Source organism: Homo sapiens, chromosome 13, assembly GCF_000001405.40.
Source record: "Homo sapiens chromosome 13, GRCh38.p14 Primary Assembly".
NCBI classification, from domain to species: Eukaryota; Metazoa; Chordata; class Mammalia; order Primates; family Hominidae; genus Homo; species Homo sapiens.
The window spans coordinates 92,744,812-92,771,194 of NC_000013.11; the positions used below are offsets into that span (position 1 = coordinate 92,744,812).

Genomic DNA, 26,383 nt, shown 5'->3' on the forward strand with positions numbered 1-26,383 from the left:
GTGTAAGTTTATATAGATATATAGCTATACTAAAAGATGGCCAGATGGATAGATAGGTAGACAGAGATACCCATTCCACTGTATGTCCTCATACATGTTGATGACTTTATAACTGTGTTTACCACTGCCTCATTTTGTACTGCAAGTTACCTGAGACTTGCCTTCTCTAGTCCTTATTGTGTCCTCTGATGTGTAATAATAATTCATATCAATAACTGTAAAATTATAAAAAATTTTGAGTGATAATATATTGAAATATTTAGAATGCTTTATTTGTTTAAAACATTTTGACATTTGGGATTCATTTTCAAATTTTAGCCCAAAATTTCATATTTTGGTTATATACATGGGAAAATTTGTATAAAGCAATTCAGAACTTTGTTAGTTCAATATAAACACAATTTGGGTCTTTTTACTTTTTGGAAATTTTCTAAATGATGATTCATGCTTTGAGATGCTCATAGCAAAAAAACACAAATTCTTTGTATTTTAGCATCACTGATACTTCCAACACACTGGGTGCATTTCTACAGCACACCTGGCACTTTTGAAAATGTTACATCACATCTAAACAATTTTTTTGAATTCCATTCCTATGGAATCACTGGTACAGAAGGTCCCTTGGTAAAGCTTAGTTCTGAAATAATTGCATGTTTCTTTTCCTCATAATTTGGACTCCCATGTTTTATAGATACTTGGCATTGTTCTGAAACCTTCCCTCCAGCCAGCTTGCTACTCCAGATGGCATTGCCTTTCTGAACAAGCTGAGTCCTCTGGTCATTAGGGTAAAATAGCATTTACTTATAAGTCCTTGTCTAGTCTTGCTTACCACTATTATTCACTTCATTGATCATGAATATAAGGTTCTTAGCTCTTGGTATTCCAGAATAGTAATAGGCAATTCTAAAATTCTCCAGGCTAATTATTTAACAAGTAAAATACTAATCATTTTTTTCAAAATTTCGAAACTAATAAATTTTCAAAATCACATTAGTTTCATCTCTACATGGATTCTGTAAATGTCAAGTTAAACATAAAATTCACTTTCTATGTAGCTTTCACTAAGTCATTTCTTATATTATTGGATAACATGATTTATTCTTTTTCCTTTTTATGGAATTGTATTATCGATAAATTTGAGCTCAAGCATTAAAGGTTTCTAAAGGAAAATTTACTCATGAACACAAGCCTTCAGAAAACACATTTAATCAATTAGCTATATCTAATCAGTTGTTTTTGTGAATCCCACATTCTTGAATATTCATTTTAACCAGTCCAACAAAACCTGTAAGATTGGGCCCCATCCTGTCGTCTAGTCATTCCCTCAAAATGGAGTATTCAGCTGTACATCTAACTTGGTAAGAGCAAAAGAATGAATCCAAGCCAGTAAAGTAGCTTTATAAAAGGTGCTTCAAAGGGATACCTCAATTTTCATTAAAAATTTTAATTATTAAATCATTTCTGGCTTCAGTCTTTCTGCAAAGCCAACCAACTTCAAAATATATCTTGTTCACTACAATTTCAAGTGAGACTTTTCAAGTAATAAGGAAAGGTTTTTGGAAATTTAGAGAATTAACAATATTTTCTTTAGAACCACCTACATCTGTTTCATTTTTAGTTGCATTTTATTCTAAGTGATTCCTGCAGTAAATAATCATGAGCATGATGCATCTTCTCAGTAGTCCCTCTGTAGGTGCCTCTCAATGCAAAGGAATTAATACAGGTTTCTCTGTCTGCCTTCTGTTTGCATAAGATAACACTAATACCCAATGTGTCTATCAAAAACCACAAGATACATTTTGAACTTCATCAGAGTTTACAATATTGTTTAATGACACTTTATGAAGTGGCCTTAACTTCATAGATTTCGTAGATTTTTAAGGACAACACAATATCCTGATGTGGGTAACATTCATGTAAACAAAGGTATTTATCTCTTAACTTTATTGATATCTCAAACTCTCACAAATAGAAGGATTTGGCTCCTTGATTCATTAACATATACAGTCATGCTTTGCTAGGTAACAGGGATACTTTCTGACAAATGCATCATTAGGCAATTTTGTCATGTGTGAGCATTATAGAGTGTACTTACACAAACCTAGGTGATGTAACCTATTGCACACTTAAGTATATGGTATAGCTTATTCCTCCTAGGATGCATACCTATACAGCAAGTTACTACATTACATAGCGCAGGCAATTGTAACACAATGGTATTTGTGTATCTAAACATGGAAAAGGTACAGTAAAGGTACAGTTATACAATCTTATGGGACCACTATCATATATGTGGCCCATTGTTAGCCAAAGCGTCATTATGTGGTGCATGACCATACATGAATTGAATATTCCCCACTGACATATCCATTTTTAGTATTTTTGTAAATTGGCCTAACGGTTATTTGTGCTCTATATGCACAAGGTAAGTTATTTTATCCCCATTTTACAGATGAGGAAATCGTTTTAAAGGACTTAAAGCATTGTCATTGCTTAAGACCAGTGGTATTCTCTTGCATTATTCCTTTAAGCCAGAGATAAAAGAAATTAATAAGAAAAAAAATCAGAGAACAAATCCATAACAGTTTACTTCAGCCAATGAGTGGTTATATTTAGTTTTATCTTGTAGAAAGAGAAGTCATTTTATGTTTTAAGGAGAGAGCATGAGTGAAAACTGTGGAAAATAATAAGCAAGTCACTGGGGGTATGCATTGACCTCCTCCTCTCTCCTTTAGTAAATGAGTCTGAATACTGGTTATGGATTGTATTGATCATATATTAAAATGACAAATTGCCTCCACATTAGCTTGCACACAAGTCTCTTAACGAAACCCATTGTAACTTGTCAGATGCAACCTAAGAATTGAACTAGACATTGATGGACAAGACCTTCCACTGACCATTGAAAACATGTAGATTCTCCCTGATTAAATTGATGCTTCTGACTTTAATGAGCTGCTATTGATTGGGCATTTACTGCTACAATATATTATCATATTGCTGTTCCCAGTGCCATACTTAAGAGGTTATAAGCATTTCTGCTATAAATCCTTTTTAGAAGCTTGTAGCTCAACCAAAATATATGCCAGTGATATCATACATAAGATGTAAAGCCACTTTGACTGCAGATTATTTTCCACAGTTAAAAATTATACATATATATGTACATTTAATAACGTCAGTTTTCTTTGAATAACCCAAACGATGATGGCCTGAGGTAGTCTGTGAATTATATGAATATGCAAAAAAGGGTTCTTGTTGAAAATAAGTTTTAATATGATATGCTTTACTGATCTACCTTATAAGACTACAAGAAACAGGTCTAAAAATGGTGAATGAAAAATAGTATGTTGCCAGTTTGTCCCTGAGTTTAAATCATGGAGTATGAACTCAGTACTTACGGTAGTTTGATATACATCATAATAATTAAAGTAGTAATAATGTAAGACAAAGATTATTTTGGACTAAAAACATGGAGAAACTGACATCTGCATTTTATTTTATTATTATTATTATTATTATTATTATTATTATTATTTTGAGATGGAGTCTCGCTCTGTCACCCAGGCTGGAGTGCAGTGGCATGATCTCGGCTCACTGCAACCTCTGCCTCCCAGGTTAAGCAATTCTCTGCCTCAGCCTCCTGAGTAGCTGGTATTACAGGCGCCCTGCTAATTGTTTGTAATTTTTTTGTAGAGACGGGGTTTCACCATCTTGGCCAGGCTGGTCTTGAACTCCTGACCTTGTGATCCACCTGCCTCGGCCTCCCAAAGTGCTGGGATTACAGGTGTGAGCCACGGCACCTGGCCTGTCATTTTATTCTAAATAATTTTTCTGAAGCCTGAGAACACTTAAACATATACAAATAGTTGTTTTTTGTTTAAAATATAAAGAGCTTACTTTGAAGTACATTTTTATTTAAAATGAATACTCCTTTTTTTAATTGTTAATAGAAATATCCTTTTTCTGCATTACATTTATAAATATGATACAATTTTAAGCACCTCATACATTATTTCTCTGGAGTAGACATTTAATTATTTGCTGAATGCTTTAGTGTATGGATGAAAAGGGATGAATGAATACAAGTTATGAGAATCTTGATTTTATCTTTTCTAATGAAATTGTGAATACCACTTTAATCAAAAGAATATCAGTTTCTGTGTTTAACACTTCAGTTCTGTATCTACTTTTCAGAAACAGTTTTAGAGCACTTGAATCATTGTTTGTAGGTACCATTCAAGATATATTTTGGAGTTCTTGGCCAGACAAGAATACACTGATCTACTCTGGGACTACTCTTACATTCTCAGATATTTTAATGTACTTAGTGGATTTTTAAGTGTCACCAGGAAACCAAAATTAATAACATAGCTTATTTAGACGAAATAGGTAAAATCCAAACAAATTTGGCAGAGTTTGCTTATTGCTTAAAAAGCATATTTTAGCAATTAATTGAGCCATTTTTTCAATATATTATGTATAATATAATGTTTTACATCATTGCTAGGTATTTTTAATATAGGTTGAAGTTTGGTAAATCATGTTGTATTAATGACTACATAAAAGTCACTATATACAATAAACTTTCATTGTTTGTGATTATGAGAAAATAGTTCATCCGGAAAAAAAAGTATGCTATTTTATGTTTCACAATAACTGTAAAATGGCTAGTTATATTGATAGTATTCTGTTTGATTTTTTGATGGAATTAAATGAATATATCATTTAAATGTGATTATTAAGACGATGGAGGTGATTGATTCTGACAAACCTTTTTAATGTTTTTAAAGTATATATGAGTACACATCAATAATAATATGCTTCTGTTGCCTGACACATGGTTTTCCATAACATCTTTCAATTGCATATCTACTATAATTTTAATTCAATAAAATGCAGGAGGTGCATGAATGGAGAGTACAACAATTTGTAGTTATGCTGAAAGACATCTACAGTTCATAGACCCGCTAATTTGTACAATTAAAATTAAAAAGAAAAGACTTATTCAGAGAATGTAGCTTATCTTTGTCATGGTCATGAATGAACAAAATAGGGAGTTGCAAAAAATTAGAGGGCAAACTTCTCTGCACACTAAAATCAATGGGAATGTTATAGTAGAAGTATCTGAACCAAACTGTTTCTCTCCCAGCCAGAGGCTGGTTCACTGAGCTATGCAGCTTGATAACTGCCACCAGTAATGAAGTTGGACTGAATATTTTTCCAGTTCTACCCACAGACAGAAAAGGTAGGCTGAACAAGAATACTCCTAATGGAGCATTTGAATAAGTGTCTGCATAATGATGTTTTCAATTTTTGAATATTTAATATTTTAAGCCTATTTTTCTCACACTGTGTGAGAAGTCATAAAAGGTAGAGTCCTATTAATGCTAATTCCCAAGACTCTAGAAAAAAAAGTTTTCTCGCAATCATTTTGTAAACTGTAAGAAAACTGATTATGTCTTCAATCTGTGATGATACTCTACAGAAATATGCACATTTTTGTCTTGTCTCTCTTGATATTTTATGTAAATTTCATTATATATAAGTGAACTCTATCATTCTGTTTTCCGTTTTGGGGTTAAATCTTCTTAAAATACTATTATTGAAGAGAAAAGACAATGCTGGAAGAGGAAAAGAAAAAAAATGAAAAACAGGGCAGAAAAAGGAGAAAATGAGAGGACAATAAGCCTGAAGAGGCATAAGAAAAAAGAAAATAGATTATGTGCAGCTATCAACTTCTAGTGTACAGAAAAGGAAATTGTCCTTATGAATTATCTCCCGTCTGTACTTCCTTAGAGCTCTCAGCTACTGATTGAATGCCCTACTCCTGGTAGTTACACTATTTTCTACACTTGTATGTTAATAATTCAGGCTCAGAATTTAACCTGTCATCCAAAAGAGGGTTAATTCTTAAATTCAGTTCATTCTGAGTTAAGCACAAACTTCAAAACAATGCAAAGGCTGCGTGGAGAGTCATGTAATTGTATCTTCCCTCTCAGAGACCTGAGCTATTAGCTAACCCATCATGTTTTTTGTTTATAGTCAAGTATGATATGTATGTTTTCTGGCCTTCAACAGTGCTATATCCATAACACTCCCACACTAAAAGCATTTCTATAGAAACAAAAAAGAATGAGGAAAATTGTTATCACGTACATTGTTCTAGGATTTTTATTTTCATCCATTGTTTAAAATAGGCATGCTTGTAGTATAAAACAGCACCTCTAGTGTATAATGAGGCACAAAATGTACTGTTCATGAAAAATTGATATATATAAACCTTTTTACTAAACCATAACACAATTCATCCTTTATTAGAAGTCCAATTTAAGATGTAGACATTTTCTACCAACTGGGAGCTAAGGCTTTCCAAAGACTGAACTAGAGAAAGAAAATTGTTTTTTGCCTGTGACAATGTGTGGAAACATTTGAAAAGGTACCTACGTAAGAACAGTTTTGGAGAAAACCTTTGGTCATCCAGAAACATTTAAAAAAAAAAAAAAAAAAAAAAAAAAAAAAAACCTTCCAACCTCATAAAATCTTATTTTGTTCTAAGTTTCTCCAGTTCTGGAATCTAGAATTAAGATGCACAATTAACTTAAAGAAGCAAGTCTTGGAATGTGCCAGTCCAACAAATGCAGGAAGAATTCTCCAGCTCAAAGCAGAGATGAATGAGTTCATTAGCAGCAGCTGCACTTATACATCAAGTACCTTTCGGTAACACATGAGTCTTGGTCCTTCTAAATTGTGCAGTGGGGAACATCACACACCAGGGCCTGTTGTGGGGTTGGGGGAGGGGGGAGGGATAGCAGTAGAAGATATACCTAATGTAAATGACGAGTTAATGGGTGCAGCACAGCAACATGGCACATGTATACATATGTAACAAACCTGCACGTTGTGCACATGTACCCTAGAACTTAAAGTATAAAAAAAAATAAAAAATAAAAACACTTCAATACTTAGCGTATGAGGGACATGACTTAAAACATTAAGTTTGCAGCCCCATAGTTAAGTCAATCTATGTGTTTCTCCCATTTTCCGTTTTCACAACAGTGGCCAACTAGGTTATTGCCTCAAGATGGTTACATTGTTTCACTTGCGCTGGATCTACTCGTTTTCAGTTACTTTGTTACCTTGTAAAAAAAAGTTTTCATTTGTATCTAATTATGTTATGAATTGAATATAATAGTATCTGTTTTAATTTGCCACTTTGCTTTACAGATTTAAATAAAGAGGAATGAGAACCTTGAAAAAAAAAAAAAGCAAGAACTCTAGAGCAGAGTTTCTCAAACTTGGCATTACCATACTGACATTTCGAAACAAATACGTGGAGTGTGTCCGTGTGTGTGTTAGCATTTGCGTCACAGTGTCCTGTGCTTTGCAGGAAGTTTAGCCCTATCCCTGACTTCTACCAACTAGATGTCATCCACACTGCTTCTCCCACAGTTTTGTGACAATCCAAAGTATCTCCAGACATTGACAAATGATCCCTGGGGGACAAAATGCTCTGGTCCTCTTCAGAACCAATGCTTTAGAGTAAAATTAGCCTAATTTCTGATTTTTCCCATTGCTTGTAGAGACAATGGAAATAGTAATTGCACTAAGTTGATGGAATTGTTGTAAAGGTAAAAAAGAGTGCTAAGAATATTTTCTGGATGGGGGGAGGAGCCAAGATGGCCGAATAGGAATAGCTCCGGTCTACAGCTCCCAGCGTGAGCGACGCAGAAGACGGGTGATTTCTGCATTTCCATCTGAGGTACCGGGTTCATCTCACTAGGGAGTGCCAGACAGTGGGCGCAGGTCAGTGGGTGCGCGCACCGTGCGCGAGCTGAAGCAGGGTGAGGCATTGCCTCATTCGGGAAGCGCAAGGGGTCAGGGAGTTCCCTTTCCTAGTCAAAGAAAGGGGTGACGGAGGGCACCTGGAAAATCGGGTCACTTCCACCCGAATACTGCACTTTTCCAACGGGCTTAAAAAACAGCGCACCACGAGATTATATCCTGCACCTGGCTCGGAGGGACCTACGCCCAGGGAGTCTCGCTGATTGCTAGCACAGCAGTCTGAGATCAAACTGCAAGGCGGCAGTGAGGCTGGGGGAGGGGCGCATACCATTGCCCAGGCTTGCTTAGGCAAACAAAGCAGCCAGGAAGCTCGAACTGGGTGGAGCCCACCACAGCTCAGGGAGGCCTGCCTGCCTCTGTAGGCTCCACCTCTGGGGGCAGGGCACAGACAAACAAAAAGACAGCAGTAACCTCTGCAGACTTAAATGTCCCTCTGACAGCTTTGAAGAGAGCAGTGGTTCTCCCAGCACTCAGCTGGAGATCTGAGAATGGGCAGACTGCCTCCTAAAGTGGGTCCCTGACCCCTGACCCCCGAGCAGCCTAACTGGGAGGCACCCCCCAGCAGGGGCACACTGACACCTCACACGGCAGGGTACTCCAACAGACCTGCAGCTGAGGGTCCTGTCTGTTAGAAGGAAAACAGAAAGGACATCCACACCAAAAACCCATCTGTACATCACCATCATCAAAGACCAAAAGTAGATAAAACCACAAAGATGGGGAAAAAACAGAACAGAAAAACTGGAAACTCTAAAGAGCAGAGCACCTCTCCTCCTCCAAAGGAATGCAGTTCCTCACCAGCAAGGGAACAAAGCTGGACGGAGAATGACTTTGATGAGCTGAGAGAAGAAGGCTTCAGACGATCAAATTACTCTGAGCTATGGGAGGACATTCAAACCAAAGGCAAAGAAGTTGAAAACTTTGAAAAAAATTTAGAAGAATGTATAACTAGAATAACCAATACAAAGAAGTGCTTAAAGGAGCTGATGGAGCTGAAAACCAAGGCTCGAGAACTACGTGAAGAATGCAGAAACCTCAGGAGCCGATGCGATCAACTGGAAGAAAGGTATCAGCAATGGAAGATGAAATGAATGAAATGAAGCGAGAAGGGAAGTTTAGAAAAAAAAAGAATAAAAAGAAATGAGCAAAGCCTCCAAGAAATATGGGACTATGTGAAAAGACCAAATCTACGTCTGATTGGTATACCTGAAAGTGACAGGGAGAATGGAACCAAGTTGGAAAACACTCTGCAGGATATTATCCAGGAGAACTTCCCCAATCTAGCAAGCAGGCCAACGTTCAGATTCAGGAAATACAGAGAACGCCACAAAGATACTCCTCAAGAAGAGCAACTCCAAGACACATAATTGTCAGATTCACCAAAGTTGAAATGAAGGAAAAAATGTTAAAGGCAGCCAGAGAGAAAGGTCGGGTTAACCTCAAATGGAAGCCCGTCAGACTAACAGCGGATCTCTCGGCAGAAACCCTACAAGCCAGAAGAGAGTGGGGGCCAATATTCAACATTCTTAAAGACAAGAATTTTCAACCCAGAATTTCATATCCAGCCAAACTAAGCTTCATAAGTGAAGGAGAAATAAAATATTTTACAGACAAGCAAATGCTGAGAGATTTTCTCACCACCAGGCCTGCCCTAAAAGAGCTCCTGAAGGAAGCGCTAAACATGGAAATGCACAAACGGTACCAACTACTGCAAAATCATGCCAAAATGTAAAGACCATCAAGAATAGGAAGAAACTGCATCAACTAATGAGCGAAATCACCAGCTAACATCATAATGACAGGATCAAATTCACACATAACAATATTAACTTTAAATGTAAATGGACTAAATGCTCCAATTAAAAGACACAAACTGGCAAATTGGATAAAGAGTCAAGACCCAACAGTGTGCTGTATTCAGGAAACCCATCTCACGTGCAGAGACACACATAGGCTCAAAATAAAAGGATGGAGGAAGATCTACCAAGCAAATGGAAAACAAAAAAAGGCAGGGGTTGCAATCCTAGTCTCTGATAAAACAGATTTTAAACCAACAAAGATCAAAAGAGACAAAGAAGGCCATTACATAATGGTAAAGGAATCAATTCAACAAGAAGAGCTAACTATCCTAAATATATATGCACCCAATACAGGAGCACCCAGATTCATAAAGCAAGTCCAGAGTGACCTACAAAGAGACTTAGACTCCCACACATTAATAATGGGAGACTTTAACACCCCACTGTCAACATTAGACAGATCAACGAGACAGAAAGTCAACAAGGATACCCAGGAATTGAACTCAGCTCTGCACCAAGCGGACCTAACACACATCTACAGAACTCTCCACCCCAAATCAACAGAATATACATTTTTTCAGCACCACACCACACCTATTCCAAAACTGACCACATACTTGGAAGTAAAGCTCTCCTCAGCAAATGTAAAAGAACAGAAATTATAACAAACTATCTCTCAGACCACAGTGCAATCAAACTAGAACTCAGGATTAAGAATCTCACTCAAAGCCGCTCAACTACATGGAAACTGAACAACCTGCTCCTGAATGACTACTGGGTACATAACGAAATGAAGGCAGAAATAAAGATGTTCTTTGAAACCAACGAGAACAAAGACACAACATACCAGAATCTCTGGGACGCATTCAAAGCAGTGTGTAGAGGGAAATTTATAGCACTAAATGCCCACAAGAGAAAGCAGGAAAGATCCAAAATTGATACCCTAACATCACAATTAAAAGAACTAGAAAAGCAAGAGCAAACACATTCAAAAGCTAGCAGAAGGCAAGAAATAACTAAAATCAGAGCAGAACTGAAGGCAATGGAGACACAAAAAACCCTTCAAAAAATCAATGAATCCAGGAGCTGGTTTTTTGAAAGGATCAACAAAATAGATAGACTGCTAGCAAGACTAATAAAGAAAAAAAGAGAGAAGAATCAAATAGACACAATAAAAAATGATAAAGGGGATATCACCACCGATCCCACAGAAATACAAACTACCATCAGAGAATACTACAAACACCTCTACGCAAATAAACTAGAAAATCTAGAAGAAATGGATAAATTCCTCGACACATACACTCTCCCAAGACTAAACCAGGAAGAAGTTGAATCTCTGAATAGACCAATAACAGGATCTGAAATTGTGGCAATAATCAATAGCTTACCAACCAAAAAGAGTCCAGGACCAGATGGATTCACAGCCGAATTCTACCAGAGGTACAAGGAGGAACTGGTACCATTCCTTCTGAAACTATTCCAATCAATAGGAAAAGAGGGAATCCTCCCTAACTCATTTTATGAGGCCAGCATCATTCTGATACCAAAGCCTGGCAGAGACACAACCAAAAAAGAGAGTTTTAGACCAATATCCTTGATGAACATTGATGCAAAAATCCTCAATAAAATACTGGCAAAACGAATCCAGCAGCACATCAAAAAGCTTATCCACCATGATCAAGTGGGCTTCATCCCTGGGATGCAAGGCTGGTTCATTATATGCAAATCAATAAATGTAATCCAGCATATAAACAGAGCCAAAGACAAAAACCACATGATTATCTCAATAGATGCAGAAAAGGCCTTTGACAAAATTCAACAACCCTTCATGCTAAAAACTCTCAATAAATTAGGTATTGATGGGACATATTTAAAAATAATAAGAGCTATCTATGACAAACCCACAGCCAATATCATACTGAATGGACAAAAACTGGAAGCATTCCCTTTGAAAACTGGCACAAGACAGGGATGCCCTCTCTCACCACTCCTATTCAACATAGTGTTGGAAGTTCTGGCCAGGGCAATCAGGCAGGAGAATGAAATAAAGGGTATTCAATTAGGAAAACAGGAAGTCAAATTGTCCCTGTTTGCAGACGACATGATTGTATATCTAGAAAACCCCATTGTCTCAGCCCAAAATCTCCTTAAGCTGATAAGCAACTTCAGCAAAGTCTCAGGATACAAAATCAATGTACAAAAATCACAAGCATTCTTATACACCAACAACAGACAAACAGAGAGCCAAATCATGAGTGAACTCCCATTCACAATTGCTTCAAAGAGAATAAAATACCTAGGAATCCAACTTACAAGGGATGTGAAGGACCTCTTCAAGGAGAACTACAAATCACTGCTCAAGGAAATAAAAGAGGATACAAACAAATGGAAGAACATTCCATGCTCATGGGTAGGAAGAATCAATATCGTGAAAATGGCCATACTGCCCAAGGTAATTTATAGATTCAATGCCATCCCCATCAAGCTACCAATGCCTTTCTTCACAGAATTGGAAAAAACTATTTTAAAGTTCATATGGAACCAAAAAAGAGCCCGCATTGCCAAGTCAATCCTAAGCCAAAAGAACAAAGCTGGAGGCATCACACTACCTGACTTCAAACTATACTACAAGGCTACAGTAACCAAAACAGCATGGTACTGGTACCAAAACAGAGATATAGATCAATGGAACAGAACAGAGCCCTCTGAAATAACGCCGCATATCTACAACTATCTGATCTTTGAGAAACCTGACAAAAACAAGAAATGGGGAAAGGATTCGTATTTAATAAATGGTGCTGGGAAAACTGGCTAGCCATATGTAGAAAGCTGAAACTGGATCCCTTCCTTACACCTTATACAAAAATCAATTCAAGATGGATTAAAGACTTAAATGTTAGACCTAAAACCATAAAAACCATGGAAGAAAACCTAGGCAATACCATTCAGGACATAGGCATGGGCAAGGACTTCGTGTCTAAAACACCAAAAGCAATGGCAACAGAAGCCAAAATTGACAAATGGGATCTAATTAAACTAAAGAGCTTCTGTACAGCAAAAGAAACTACCATCAGAGTGAACAGGCAACCTACAAAATGGGAGAAAATTTTTGCATCCTACTCATCTGAAAAAGGGCTAATATCCAGAATCTACAATGAACTTAAACAAATTTACAAGAAAAAAACAAACAACCCCATCAAAAAGTGGGCAAAGGACATGAACAGACACTTCTCAAAAGAAGACATTTATGCAGCCAAAAGACACATGAAAAAATGCTCATCATCACTGGCCATCAGAGAAACGCAAATTAAAACCACAATGAGATACCATCTCACACCAGTTAGAATGGCAATCATTATAAAGTCAGGAAACAACAGGTGCTGGAGAGGATGTGGAGAAATAGGAACACTTTTACACTGTTGGTGGGACTGTAAACTAGTTCAACCATTGTGGAAGTCAGTGTGGCGATTCCTCAGGGATCTAGAACTGGAAATACCATTTGACCCAGCCATGCCATTCCTGGGTATATACCCAAAGGACTATAAATCATGCTGCTATAAAGACACATGCACACGTATGTTTATTGTGGCACTATTCACAATAGCAAAGTCTTGGAACCAACCCAAATGTCCAACAATGATAGACTGGATTAAGAAAATGTGGCACATATACACCATGGAATACTATGCAGCCATAAAAAATGATGAGTTCATGTCCTTTGTAGGGACATGGATGAAATTGGAAATCATCATTCTCAGTAAACTATCGCAAGAACAAAAAACCAAACACCACATATTCTCATTCATAGGTGGGAATTGAACAATGAGATCACATGGACACAGGAAGGGGAACATCACACTCTGGGGACTGTTGTGGGGTGGGGGGAGGGATAGCTTTGGGAGATATACCTAATGCTAGATGACGAGTTAGTGGGTGCAGCGCACCAGCATGGCACATGTATACGTATGTAACTAACCTGCACAATGTGCACATGTACCCTAAAACTTAAAGTATAATAATAATAAAAAAAAGAATATTTTCTGTTATATAGTATGTGGGAAAAAATGTGTGATTACTATTATCATGGGCCGAAAATTATGAATTACAATTTATCTGAACATAGAGTGGCCATTCTTTGGCTGTTATAGCCATTTAGCCAGAAGATGAGCTGACGTCACTTGTGTTTATATTTATTTTCAAGATTATACTCCTTAAAATAATCCCATTTCTCTTCTCGTTTTATTAAGTTATGGTTTTCTCCTTTACCTGTAAAAAATAATAATTCAGAAATTACATGGGAATGTGTTTCCTGAGTTTTTTGTGTGATATCCAAGAAATCATTGCCAAGACCAGTGTCAAGGGGATTTCGCCTATATTTTCATCTAGGAGTTTTATGATTTCCAGTCTCATATGTAGGTCTTTTATCCATTTTGAGTTGATTTTTGTGTATGGTGTAAAAGAAGGGTCCAATTTCATTGGTTTATTTTCAGATGAGGAAATCCAGTTTTTCCAGAGAATATCCTTTTCCCATTGCGGTTTTTTTTTTTTTTTTTTTTTTTTTGGTGCTGTCATGAAATAATATTAGTTGACCATGTATGTTTGGACTATTTCCGGACTTTCTACTCTATCCCACTGGTCCACTGGTCTGTTTGTCTGTTTTTATGCCAGTACCATACTATTTGCTTTCTATAGATAGCTGTGTAATATAATTTTAAATCAGTAAGGGTAATACCTCCATTTTTTTTTTCAGAATTGCTTGGCTATTCAGGGTCTTTATGGTTTCATACAAATTATTGGATTGTTTTATCTATTTCTGTGAAGATTCCACTGGGATTTTGATAAGCATGGCATTGGATCTATATATTACTTTATGTATTATCAACATTTAAGACACTACTTTTTTATTCAGGAGCAATGGGATATCTTTCCATTAATTTGTGTTCCCTTTTTTTCATTAACATTTTATAGTTTTCAGTTTTTCAACTTGGTTAAATTTATTCCTGATTATGTTTTATACTATGATAAATGAGATTGTTTTCTTGATTTGTTTTTGGCTAGTCATTGTTTGTCTATACAAATGCCATAGATTTTTATATGTTGATTTTATGTCCTGCAATTTCACTGAATTAATTTATTGGGTTGAACAGTTTTTTGGTGGAGTCTTTAGGGCTCTCTATACATAGGTTCATATCATCTGCAAATACAGATACTTTTATTTTTCCTTTCTGATTTAAATATCTTTTATTTCTTTTTCTTGTCTAATTACTCTTGATAGTATTTCCAGTACTATGGTGAATAGAAGTGGTGAAAATGAGCATCCTCATGCATTGTACCAGATCTTAGAAGAAAAGTTTTCAGTATCTCCTTATTGATTATGATGTCATCTGTGGGTTCTTCATAAATAGCCTTTATTATAGTGAGAAACTTTCCTTTACACCTAAACAGTTAAGAGTTTTTATCAAGAAAGGATGTCAAACTTTGGTAAATGCTTTTTCTGCATCAATTGATATGATCGTGTGGTTTTGTTTTTCAATATATTAGTGTGATGTATAACATTGACTGATTTGCACATGTTAAATCTGTCTTGCATACCAGGATTAAATGCCACTTGTTTGTAATGGACAATCTTTTTTATTGAGAATTTTTGCATTGATGTTCATCAGTGATATTTGGCCTATAGTTTATTTTCTTATGGTGTCTTTGTCTGGTTTAGGTAAGAAGGTAATACTGATCTTGCAAAATTTGTTAGGAAGTATTTGCTTCAAATGTATTTCTTTGGAGGAGTTAAAGAAATATTGGTATCACTTTTCCTTTGAAAGGTTGGTAGAATTAGGCCCTAATGCCATTTGATTTTGTGCTTTTATCAAGAAGTTTTTAATTATTACTTTAATGTCTTTGTTATTGGACTGTTCAGATTTATATGTCTTCCTTATTCAACCTTGTTAGATTGTATTTTTCTAGGAATTTGTTCATTTCATCTAGGTTATCAAATATCTTCACATGCAATTTTTCATAATAGTCTCTTATGATCCTTTCTTTTCTGTGGTGTCTGTTGTAGTGTCTCCACCTTCATTTCTGATTTTACATATTTAAGACTTGTTTTTTTTATTCTGGCTAAGAGTTTTTCAATTTTTTTTTTCAAAAACCATCTGTTCTATTGATTTTTTTCCTATGATTTTTCTTTCATCTGTTTGATTTACTTTTGTTTCGATTTTTATTATTGCCTTCCCTCTGCTGACTTTGGGTTTAGTTTGATCTTTATTTTTTGGCTTTTTGAGGTGTAATATTAAACTATTTATTTGAGATTGCTCTTCTTAATATATTTGTTGCTATAAACTTCCCCCTTAGAACTGCTTTTGCTGTATCCCATAGGTTTTGATTTGTTGCATTTCTATTATTGTTTGTTTCAAGATATATTTTAAACTTTTCCTTTTAATTCTTCTTTGACCCATTCATTGTTCAGAAGCATATTGTTTAATTTCCACATATTTGTGAATTTTCCAAAATTCTTCCTCTTAGAGATTTCTAGTTTCATACCATTGTGGTCAGAAATAATACTTGATATGATTTAGATCTTCTTAAATTATATAAGGGTTGTTTTGCGGCCTACCAAGTGGTCTATCTTGTTTTATGTGCACTAAAGAAGAATGTGTATCTTGCTGGAAAGTTCTATATATATGTGTTAAGCCTATTTCTCCTTCCATATTCATTTTTATAGAGGCAGATTCTCACTGTGTTGCTCAGGCTGGGGTGCAGTGGCTATTTGCAGGCATAATTATAGCACACTGTAACATCAAACTTCTGGGCTCAAGCAATTCTCTGCCTTAGCCTCACAAGTAGATGGGCCTATAGGAATGCCCCTCTGTGCCTGGCTCCATTAATTTTTGCTTTGTATATTTAGGTGCATCAATGTTGGATGTATATATATTTATAATTGTTACGCCCTCTTGAGGAATAGAGCCCTCTATCATTAAATAATGACCTGTTACGTTTCTTGTGACTTTAAGACAAAGAAATCATTACCTATTTTCTGGTGTCTTTAATTCAAAGTCTATTTTATTTGATATAAGTAGAGTCATCCTTGTTCTCATTTGGCTAGGATTTGCATGGAGTATCTTCCATCTCTTCACTTTCAGCCTATTTGTGTCCTTAATGCTAAAGTAGGTCTCTTGTAGCAGCATATACTCAGATCTTATTTTAGTATTCATTCAACCACTCTATGTATTTTGATGGTAGAATGTAATCCATTTACATTAAAGTAATTATTGATAGATAAGGGCTTACTACTGGCATTTTGTTAATTGTTTCCTGGTCATTTTGTAGATCTTTTGTTCCTTGCATTCTTTATTGTTCTTTATCTCCGAGATTTGGTTATCTTCTAGCAGCTTTCCCCACAGAAATCTTGTGAGCTAGGAGAAAATGTGCTGAAAGAGAAAAAGAAAACCTGGCAGCTGAGAATATTATACCCAGCAAAACTGTCCTTCAGAAATAAAAGAGAAATAAAGCCTCAGACATGTAAAGTTGATGGAAATTATCACCACTGGATGTGCCTTAGAAGAAATGCTTAAGGGAGTCCTTCAAATAGAAAAAAAAAAGAACACTAATTAATAATATGAAAACACATGGAAGTATAAAAGTTACTAGTAAAGGTAATTATATAGTCAAATCCAGCATACTCTAATACTGTTATGATGCTCTATCATATATATCTCTAGTATGAAGGCTAAAAAAAAATCAGTCAAAAATAATGACAGTGACAATAAGTGATTAAGAAATACATAATATAAAATATGTAAATTGTGAGATCAAAGTATAAATTGTGTGAGGGGAGGGCCTAGAGTTTTTTTATGTGACGGAAGTTACGTTATCAGTGTAAAGTAGTCTATAATAACTATAAGAAGGTTTATGTAAGCCTCATGGTAACACAAAGTAGAAAACTATAACATACATAAATGGTAAAGAAAAAGGAATAAAAATACAGCACTACATTTGTCTAACAAAGATTTTCTTATATGTGACTCGTTGCTTTTCTCTCACTGCTTTTAAAATTATCTCATCTTTGATTTTGACAATTTAATTATAATGTATGTCAGGACCTCTTCAAGTTGAACATGTCTGGAGTCTTTTGAGCCCCATGTATCTGGATGTCCATATCTCTTCCAAGACTTTGGAAGATTTCAGCATTTTTATTATTAAATAAGCATTCTTTTTCCATCTTTGTCTCTTCTCACGAAATGCCTACAATGCAAATATTTGTTCACTTACTAGTATTTCATAAGTTTCATAGTTTGTCTTCACTCTTCTTCATTGTTTTCTTTTTTTCTCTTATTGGGTAATTTCAAAAGACCTTTTTCAAGTTAGAGATTCTTTCTTCTTTTCAAAAGACCTTTTTCAAGTTAGAGATTCTTTCTTCTGCTTAATCTAGTCTTCTGTTGAAGCTCTGTGTTTTATTTTTATTTCATTCAATGAATTCTTTAGCCCCAAGATTTCTGTTTCCTTTTTTTTTATGATATCCATCTCTTTATTAAATTTCTCATTTGATCCTGGATTGTTTTTCTGATATTGTTGAATTGTCTATCTGTATTCTCTTGTATGTCAGTGAGTTTCTTACAAATTATTTTTTAATTCATTTTCAGGCAACTCATAAGTTTATTTTTCTTTTGGGTCAATTACTGGAGAATTATTTTATTCTTTTGATGATATCATGTTCCCTTGCTTTTTCATGTTTCTTGTGTCCCTACACTGATGTCTGTGCATTGGTAGAACAATCATCTCTTCCAAACTTTATAGAGTGTCCTTCACATGAATGATTTTTATCTGCAGATGGATCTTAATGTACCAGTTGGGAAGGCCATGGTGGCTGATTCTGAGTAGATGAAGGGGTACAGCTTCCATTCAGCTTCTTCAGCTTTGGTCAATGTTTGTTAGCATGACTATGGGTGGCCTACGCTGCAGAAGTTCGTGGCAGTGGCAGTGTAGGTTGTTGGGGTGCTTAGTGACAAGGGCTTTGGCAGTTCTCCTTTTCTCATTTTCCCCATAATGTGGAGTTTTAGCTCAGAATGATCCTCTTGGTATCAGGTCTGACACAGCCCACAAGCTGCTGCAGGAGCTCTGGGCTCCAGAGCACAGGTACTCAGAGCTGCTATAGACTCAAGACCCTGGGGTCAGGTTCTCATAAAGAGACTTTGCCACCTGGGTCTTGTGGTGCAGCTTCATTCTCCAAGGAAGAATTGGATGTAAAATGTCCAAAAAGCCAAGGACGGTGATTCTGAGGCACGCTCTAGAGTAGGGGCCCAAAAAATGGGTTGTAGCTATGAATATGATCCTGTGGGAGAAGGACACAGCACTGGCCCAACTCTAAGGAGGAAGTGGTGTTTTGGAGGCTTTGTCCTGGGGAGCAGCGTACTATTGCAATAGAACCAATAGAGCAGAGTCCAGCTCAGCTCCCACCATATAGTGCACTCCGTAGTAGTGACTCTGGCCCCTCAGATGGTGGAACACTGTGGTAATCCCAGACTCTCAGTGGACTAGCCCCCTAGAGTCTGTTGTTTTGCCTGTAGGGCTGGGCTGTCCCAGCTCCACCTCTGCCCTGTTTTTCAGGTCCTCAGAGTACCATGTCAGCTCAGCCGTGGATGCATGGCTACTCAGCTCAGCCAAGGCATCGGTTTTCTAGAAGGCAATGTACTGCTTTAGCTCAGGCCGATGGACAAATGCAACAGTTACTGGTAGGGGTAGATGGACCAGCTCTGTGACAAATTGACCTCACGAGGTAGGGCATAGTAGCAGACTGGCTTAGTGAAGGCTGGCTATCAGGCAGAGGTAGTTCAGTGGTGACAAGACCTCAGGGATTGACAGATGCTACGACTACTTGCCCTCAGAGCAAGATGCATTCCAGCAATGGCTCTGAGTTTACAGTGGTGCAGCTCAGTAGCTGTATGGCTCATGGGGGCTAGGACATAGCGTCAGTTCCCTCTTAGGAGGAACACAGCCATATGGACTCGAGGCAGCTCCCTCAACTGGAATCAGTCCCTATGAAAACTGCAGAAGTCCCCAGTGGTGAGGACTGTAGGTGTCCAAGGTGGTTATGGGGGCTGCTGGCTTCTTGCTTACCTTTTCCCTGCAAGGAGAAGTTGCTGCTAGTTCTCAGTCGATCCCAACTGGGAGATAGAGTGGTAGAGGTAGAGTGTTTCCTTCTGTTCTCTAGGTGGCCTTCCTGGGTTTCAGTGCACTATAAAACTATTTTTACATGCTCCAGTGCTCTCTTTTGGTTATTTTCATCGAAATGTAATTATTTATTCATGGTTTTGACTGTCTTTGGGGAGGGGATAGGTGCTAGGGGCTTCTCAGTGGCCATTTTGCTGATGTCATTCTCCCCAAATTGTCTAATTTTATGGGGAAAGGGTGGAGGTCTTAAGTTTATGTCATTACAATGGATGAGCTAATTTCACTTTTTTCATTTCTAAGCAAAAAAAAGGGAAATTTGAATTTAATATGTCAAGACTCAGACCACACACTTTGTGAAATATAATTGCAAAAATACCTCCTGGCAAAATTACCAAGCTAGATTTTTAAAGGCCTTTTTTCCATCAATCTCATATTTCTTCAGAGGGTTTATTTAGTGAATGAGAAATGACTTTATGAGAATGAGATACGATGGACAAGTTGGTGATTTTGTTGACAGCAGTGTAGAATAGCCTCATTAGATTAATAAGCTGCCACGTAGAACTCACTGCATAGGTATTTTCCCCATGGTCTTCTTATTGATTTGGGGCCAGATGCATGTTGCATACAGCCTGATGAATTTAAGAACAGATTCATGGCTGCTTAATGTGTCCTTCAAAACATCTTTCAAAAGTCATTAAGCCTATAAAATGATAGGGTTTTTACCCTTGAGGCATCATTCTACAGACAAATAGATTTCAATTTGGATTTTCTTTCTTAATTCGTTGCAAGTTTATATGGAATTCATTAGGCCAATACAAGTTTTGTTCTACTAAAAAGAACTCTAAATCTGAAGCCAAAAGCTGTATCTGAAATATAATTCTGATACCTTACAGGTGTGACACGGAGTGAGTGACATAACGTATTGGCCCCAATTCCCTCCAATGTAGAGATTGATGTAGCCCAGGAGTTCTCAGCATGTGCTGCCAGGACTAGCAGCATTACCATCGCCTGGGACCTTGTTAGAAATGCAAATTCTCAGGCCCTGCACCAAGCAATCTGAATTCAAAATTGCATATGTGACCAAGATATCTGTGATTTAACAAGCCTTCCATGTGTTTTTTACCCATGATAACATTTGAAAAGCACTGTACTAGGTCAGAAAACCTTTTAAGGGGCCAGATAGTAATATTTTAGGCTGTATGTGCCAGGAAGCAAAATCAAGGATATTATATAGGTATTTATATAGAAAGAAAATAAATTTTATTAATATAATTTAAATATAATAATAGTAAAGACTTGTTCTGGCAATATAGGTCTACTAATGAGAAGAATGAAAACCTTTTTAAGGCAGATAGGCTTTGCTGAGTTTGGGCTCAAAGTTAATGTTTCCTATCATCAAATTTATTGCATATGTTCACCTGTAAAAATCATTCTTAGCTCCTGGGCCATGTAATTTTACTGACAGGCTACATTTGGCCCGTTGGTCATAGTTTGCAATCCACTATATAGAGAATCTCTAAAGCTCTTTCTGTTTCTACCCTTATATGAGTCTACCTGCACCAATGCTAAAGTTCCTTAGCTACCTCTGCTTTTTTCCTCTTTATGCAATATTAAGAACTCAAATTGCAAAATCCTGACACTGTGTCCTTAACCTAAACCCATCCACCCACCCACCCACACCACCACTGCATGTAGATCTTTCATAAAAACCAAACAAAAAGTAACTGAACAACATATAAAGTGAAAAATCTTGTATCTCAGAACTGATTTTTTCAAAATACAGCCAAATAGTAATAATGGTATGACTTTATGGATAGACTTTAATTATGATGTAGTGTCTATCACCAATATCCTTCATGAGTTCTTTGTTTTCTGTTGGGGGAAAAGACTTAAAAAGTCAACAATGTTTCAGAGATTAGCTGAAATAAAACATATCAAAGTCATGAGTTATTTTAAGAAAGATATAAGCAGAAACTTTGTATCCCAGGCAATTAGCTGTTATCAGATTCGGTATAAGACATATTAGTCAGACTTCCTTTTATCCATCCAGGTGGGAATACTAGAAACAGATATCTTTTCTAATCAGTTTCCATCTTAAGTCAAAATAGAGAGAGAGAGAGCACAAATTAGTTGAATAAATTCATTTGCTTTTAAGGGAACTTGCCTCCTGCAATTAATTCAATTGACTAGTTCAATTTCTTTATACATTCATTAGGGCATTGGTGAGAATATGATTATTCAGTTTTAAACATTGCTTGGGTTCTATTTTCTCTAATTCACTTGAGGCAGAACTATTACAATGCCTCTAGTTGCTATGTTCCATGCTATGTGAAAGAAGAGTCCAGTATTTCCTCAAAAGTGTGCAAATAATATAATGAACCCACTCTGGGCTGGAGCATATCTATTGTGGGTCTCGTGCACTTGTGTATCTGGTCAAGAATTGAATCAAGGTCCTTGGAATGAGACAGGAAATTGACTCCATGGGAGAAAGAAGCAGTGAGGCACATTGTTTTTGTTTGTTTGTTTGTTTTTCTCTGTTAACGGTGTAAATTCAGAAAAATCTTCCAGGATGGGTGCGGTGGCTCATGCCTGTAATCCCAGCACTTTGGGAGGCCAAGCAGGTGGATCACTTGAGGTCAGGAGTTCAAGACCAGCCTGGCCAACATGGTGAAACCCCGTCTCTGCTAAAACTACAAAAATTAATCATGCATGGTGGCATGCACCTGTAATCCCAGCTACTTGGGAGGCTGAGGCAGGAGAATCACTCGAACCTGGGAGGCAGAGGTTGCAGTGAGCCGGGATCGCGCCACCACACTTCAGCCTGGGCGACATAGCAAGACTGTCCAAAAAAAAGAAAAAAGAAAAATCTTCCTTCTTGGATTGGGGTAAAATTACTTTCTTTCACTTTCTTTTCGTATTTGCATTTGGACATTGCAGCAAAATCTTCAAGATGTGATAACTTCACATCTCAATCCTTGTATTTCTCTTCACAGAAAGTGAAACTTCACCTCCTGCAGTCTCTGTTAGTTACACTGTTAGTTACACTGACATACAGACAGGTTTACTCTTTATTCTTTCTCTTTCATTTTCTAATGAGGAAAGTACGTACACAATGGAATACATGAAGCATATTCGGCTGTACCTCATAATGAATTTTTATGTCTATACCTGAGTGGAACTACCCATCTGTGTCACAAGAGAGAACATTTCCCACATTCCACCCAGTTGACACCCACCCTAGATGGAAACACTATTTTGACTTCCATCACTACAAGTTAGATTTGTCTATTTTTAAATTTTTATGGAATCTTTTGTGTATATCGTTTTGCCCAAAATTGTGCCTGACTAGATTTGTTCTTAAGTAATACATGTAGAAACACTTTTGGGTCCACAGTGTAAAAACCTAAGTCAGGTATTTCCCTAGAAAATATGTGAAAACCCTCAATCCAGATAAATGAATGTTAACAAAATGCATTAACCAAATATAAATAGTGAAATGCTACTGTATTTCTTTTCTGTTTTCTAACATAATTGCAGTTTTTTCATACGTAGAATTTCAAGAACAGATATAACTTTTCAGCTAAAATACAAACTTACAAAATGCATTGTAAGTTTTGTACTTTTTGGTGATTATTGATATCTTGTAGATTTTAAAACCTACCTGAGTTCAAAATGAATTACTTTAAGCAAATTTATCATTTTCATCTACTTTACTTCACACCTTATGAGCCTAATTTTTCAGGGTTCATTAATTCCTGTTCCTCCAGTGGCTGTTATATATTATTTGGATTTCCATGCATGTCATTTTTGCCTTCTACACTGTGCTCCTTTGAAATTCTTCGTTTTTATCTAATTCATTTCTCTCATTTTTAAGCAATTTTCTACATATAATGTTAATTTAATTTTCCTGCACTGGGTTCAAGCATGACATTTTATTGTTCCTTTTACCTGATTTCTCTAATTTTCTTTAAAACAAAATAGAATGAAAAATCTTTCCCCCATAGTCAGTTTCCCCTGTCCACTCCTTCCTTTCTGTTATTTGCACCATCATTCTGCCAATTCCCGAAGCTGGCCAGTGGGAGTTCTTTGACTCTCTTCCCCCTGTCTTGCCACTGCTGCTCATAATTCATATTCTCATCACCAGAACCCTGACTGCACTTATGATCTAATATGCCTGCCTGGTCCACCCTCTCCCAGCTGCAATTTATCTACTATCTTCTCCCTAAACCTCTGATGGCATCAGGCAAGTCATCTGCTGAACAACTTAAATCAGTATTTCTCCAACGTCGAGGATATGTGAATCCATTTTAAAGGGAAAAACATCCCATAGATCACCCGTGCTGACTTAAATTAGTTTCATTGTAGTATCATATAAATAAGTACGAACATAAGCCTATTCATAAAATCTTTCTTCTTACAGATTGTATATAACTATAAAATCAAATGGATTGTAATTAATACTAACAATGTAATGAAACTAATATCACTCAAGTGAATAAGATGGATGAAAATAAATCCCCACCCACTATGTGAATATTGTATTAATTGCTACTTTTTGTGCACTGGCAAGCTTAAGAAAAGTGCTGGGAAGGTTGCATCATTTCATGGACTAGAATATTATGGCAGGACTATAAATTATGCCATGTTCTGTAAGATGATGCAATCCTCCCAACACTTTTCTTCATTCAAAATATTCCAAAACATTCATGCTTTCTATATACTGCAATGTCATTTGTCTTCCCTGGTTTCAAATGCATCATTTATTTCTTAAGTCCACCTGTGTTTTTTTTTTTCTCATTAGTTCATTAAAATTAAAGCAGCGTTGGCTGGGCCTGGTGGATAACACCTACAATCCCAGCACTTTGGGAGACTAAGGAAGGAAAAGAAGGGGGATTGTCTGAGCCCAAGAGTTCGAGACCAACCTGGGCAACATGGTGAGCTCCACCTCACCCCTGTCTCTATTTTAAAAAAGAAAGAAAATTAAAGCAGTGTGACCTGATTACCATGCAATGAATGATAAACACAACATAAGTGAAATAATCCTGGTGTTTGCAGGTAGGAGACTGCCATCCAGATGTCAGAGAATGTATTTACATTATTTTATAGATTATTATTTAAATGAAAACCCCAAAGGTGATAGATATGTCTAAAAGTACATCACAGGACCTCAGCTTAAACAACTGAGCTAAATGACAGTTTACTGCCCATTAATTCATACTCAGATAATCAGGTAGACCTTGTTTATATGTTTGTCCTGTCTCATAACTAGATTTTAATTTTCTAAAAGGCAGAAGCAGATCTTAAACTCCTTTGTGCTTTCACATCCTAGCCCAAGACCTTGTACATATAACCTCCACTAAAATTCCCCATCAGTTGATTACTGAGTTAATGAATACCTTTCATTGCATGTTCCCTGTTTTCTATTTTCCCCTATAGTCAGCACTGTTCCCCAATGGCTTATTCCTTTCCTTTTCCTTACCCCAAAACCTCTCCACCTTAAAAAATGCACAGCCAGGAGTGTTGGCCCATGCCTGTAATCCCAGCACTTTAGGAGGCTGAGGCAGGAGAATTACTTGAGCCCATGAGTTCAAGACCAGCCTGGGCAATATAGGCAGTCCCTATCTCTAAAAGATATCAAAAAATTAGTTGGGGGTGGTGGCTCCTGCCTGTCATCCAAGCTACTCAAGAGACTGAGGTGGGAGAACATTCTTGAGCCTGGGAGGTGGAGGCTGCAGTGAGCCATGATGGCACCACTGTACTCCAGCCTGGGTGACCTAGTGAGACCCTGTCTCAAAAAAAAAAAAAAAAAAAAAGCACCAAAAACATGCTTACAACCACAACTTCATTCACATCCATTTAAAGTAACTTCTCTGCTGACTGTATCACTATGTCTTATATCTCTTAGCTGACCTTCTTTTATCTTGTGTTTCTTTGTTGAGATTTCCTATGTTTTACATTTGCCCCATGCATGTTTGCAGTTGCTGTTTGAAGCATTTTTAGGATGGCTGCTGTAAAATCTTTGCTCTAAAACATCTTTGTCATCTTGTTGTTGGCATCTATTTATTGTCTTTAAGTTGGACATCTTCCTCTCCAACTTAGTTTAATGAGTGGTTTTCAGCTGAAACCCGGACATTTGGGGTATTATGTGTAAGGGACTCCAGATATTATTTCAACCTTCCGTTTTAGCTGATTTCCACAGACTCCATTACTGCAGGCTATGGGAGAGCACCACCTAATGCCTGCGAGGTGTGGATAAAAGTCTGGATTCCCCACTTGACCTCTGCTGATATTCATGGGGAAGATACTCCTCATTATTTATGGTAGAAGTGGTAGTTCTATTTCCCCCTACCTCTCCACTGACACGAGGATATGGGAGGTGTCCTTACCTCTGGGTGGTGGTAAAAGTCCTGACTCTCCACAAGCCTAGTGGGAAGAGAAGAAATGCCTCACATACTGCCGAGTGGGTGGGGGCTGGACTCTCCCTGTGATCTCCTGACAACAGAGTGAGACCTCATTACAGCCTGTCAGGGATAAAAGTCTGTCCCTTTACTTCACCTTCTCTAACACCATCC

At 36.9% G+C, this 26,383-nt stretch overlaps 1 protein-coding gene across 2 annotated transcripts in view, besides 1 other annotated feature; it reads left to right on the forward strand.

Annotated features, from left to right (window-relative positions):
* The window catches only part of GPC5 (glypican 5), a 1,468,617-nt gene that overhangs the window by 1,346,191 nt on the left and 96,043 nt on the right, over nt 1-26,383 (forward strand). The window contains exon 8 of one of the 2 annotated variants that reach the window (XM_017020435.3): nt 5,153-6,422. The exons of the other annotated variant lie outside the window; for it this stretch is intronic. Coding sequence (XP_016875924.1) covers nt 5,153-5,289 — 137 coding nt within the window. The 3' untranslated portion in view covers nt 5,290-6,422. Of the gene's footprint in view, nt 1-5,152; nt 6,423-26,383 lie in introns of those variants that run through there. 2 annotated transcript variants of the gene reach the window in all.
* Nucleotides 7,360-8,086: an enhancer, noted in NCBI's record as "NANOG-H3K27ac-H3K4me1 hESC enhancer chr13:93404424-93405150 (GRCh37/hg19 assembly coordinates)". NCBI's record gives its function as "activates a minimal SCP1, AML or CMV promoter by ChIP-STARR-seq in naive H9 embryonic stem cells {active_cell/tissue: H9 hESC(naive)}" and the evidence as "EXISTENCE:reporter gene assay evidence [ECO:0000049][PMID:30033119]".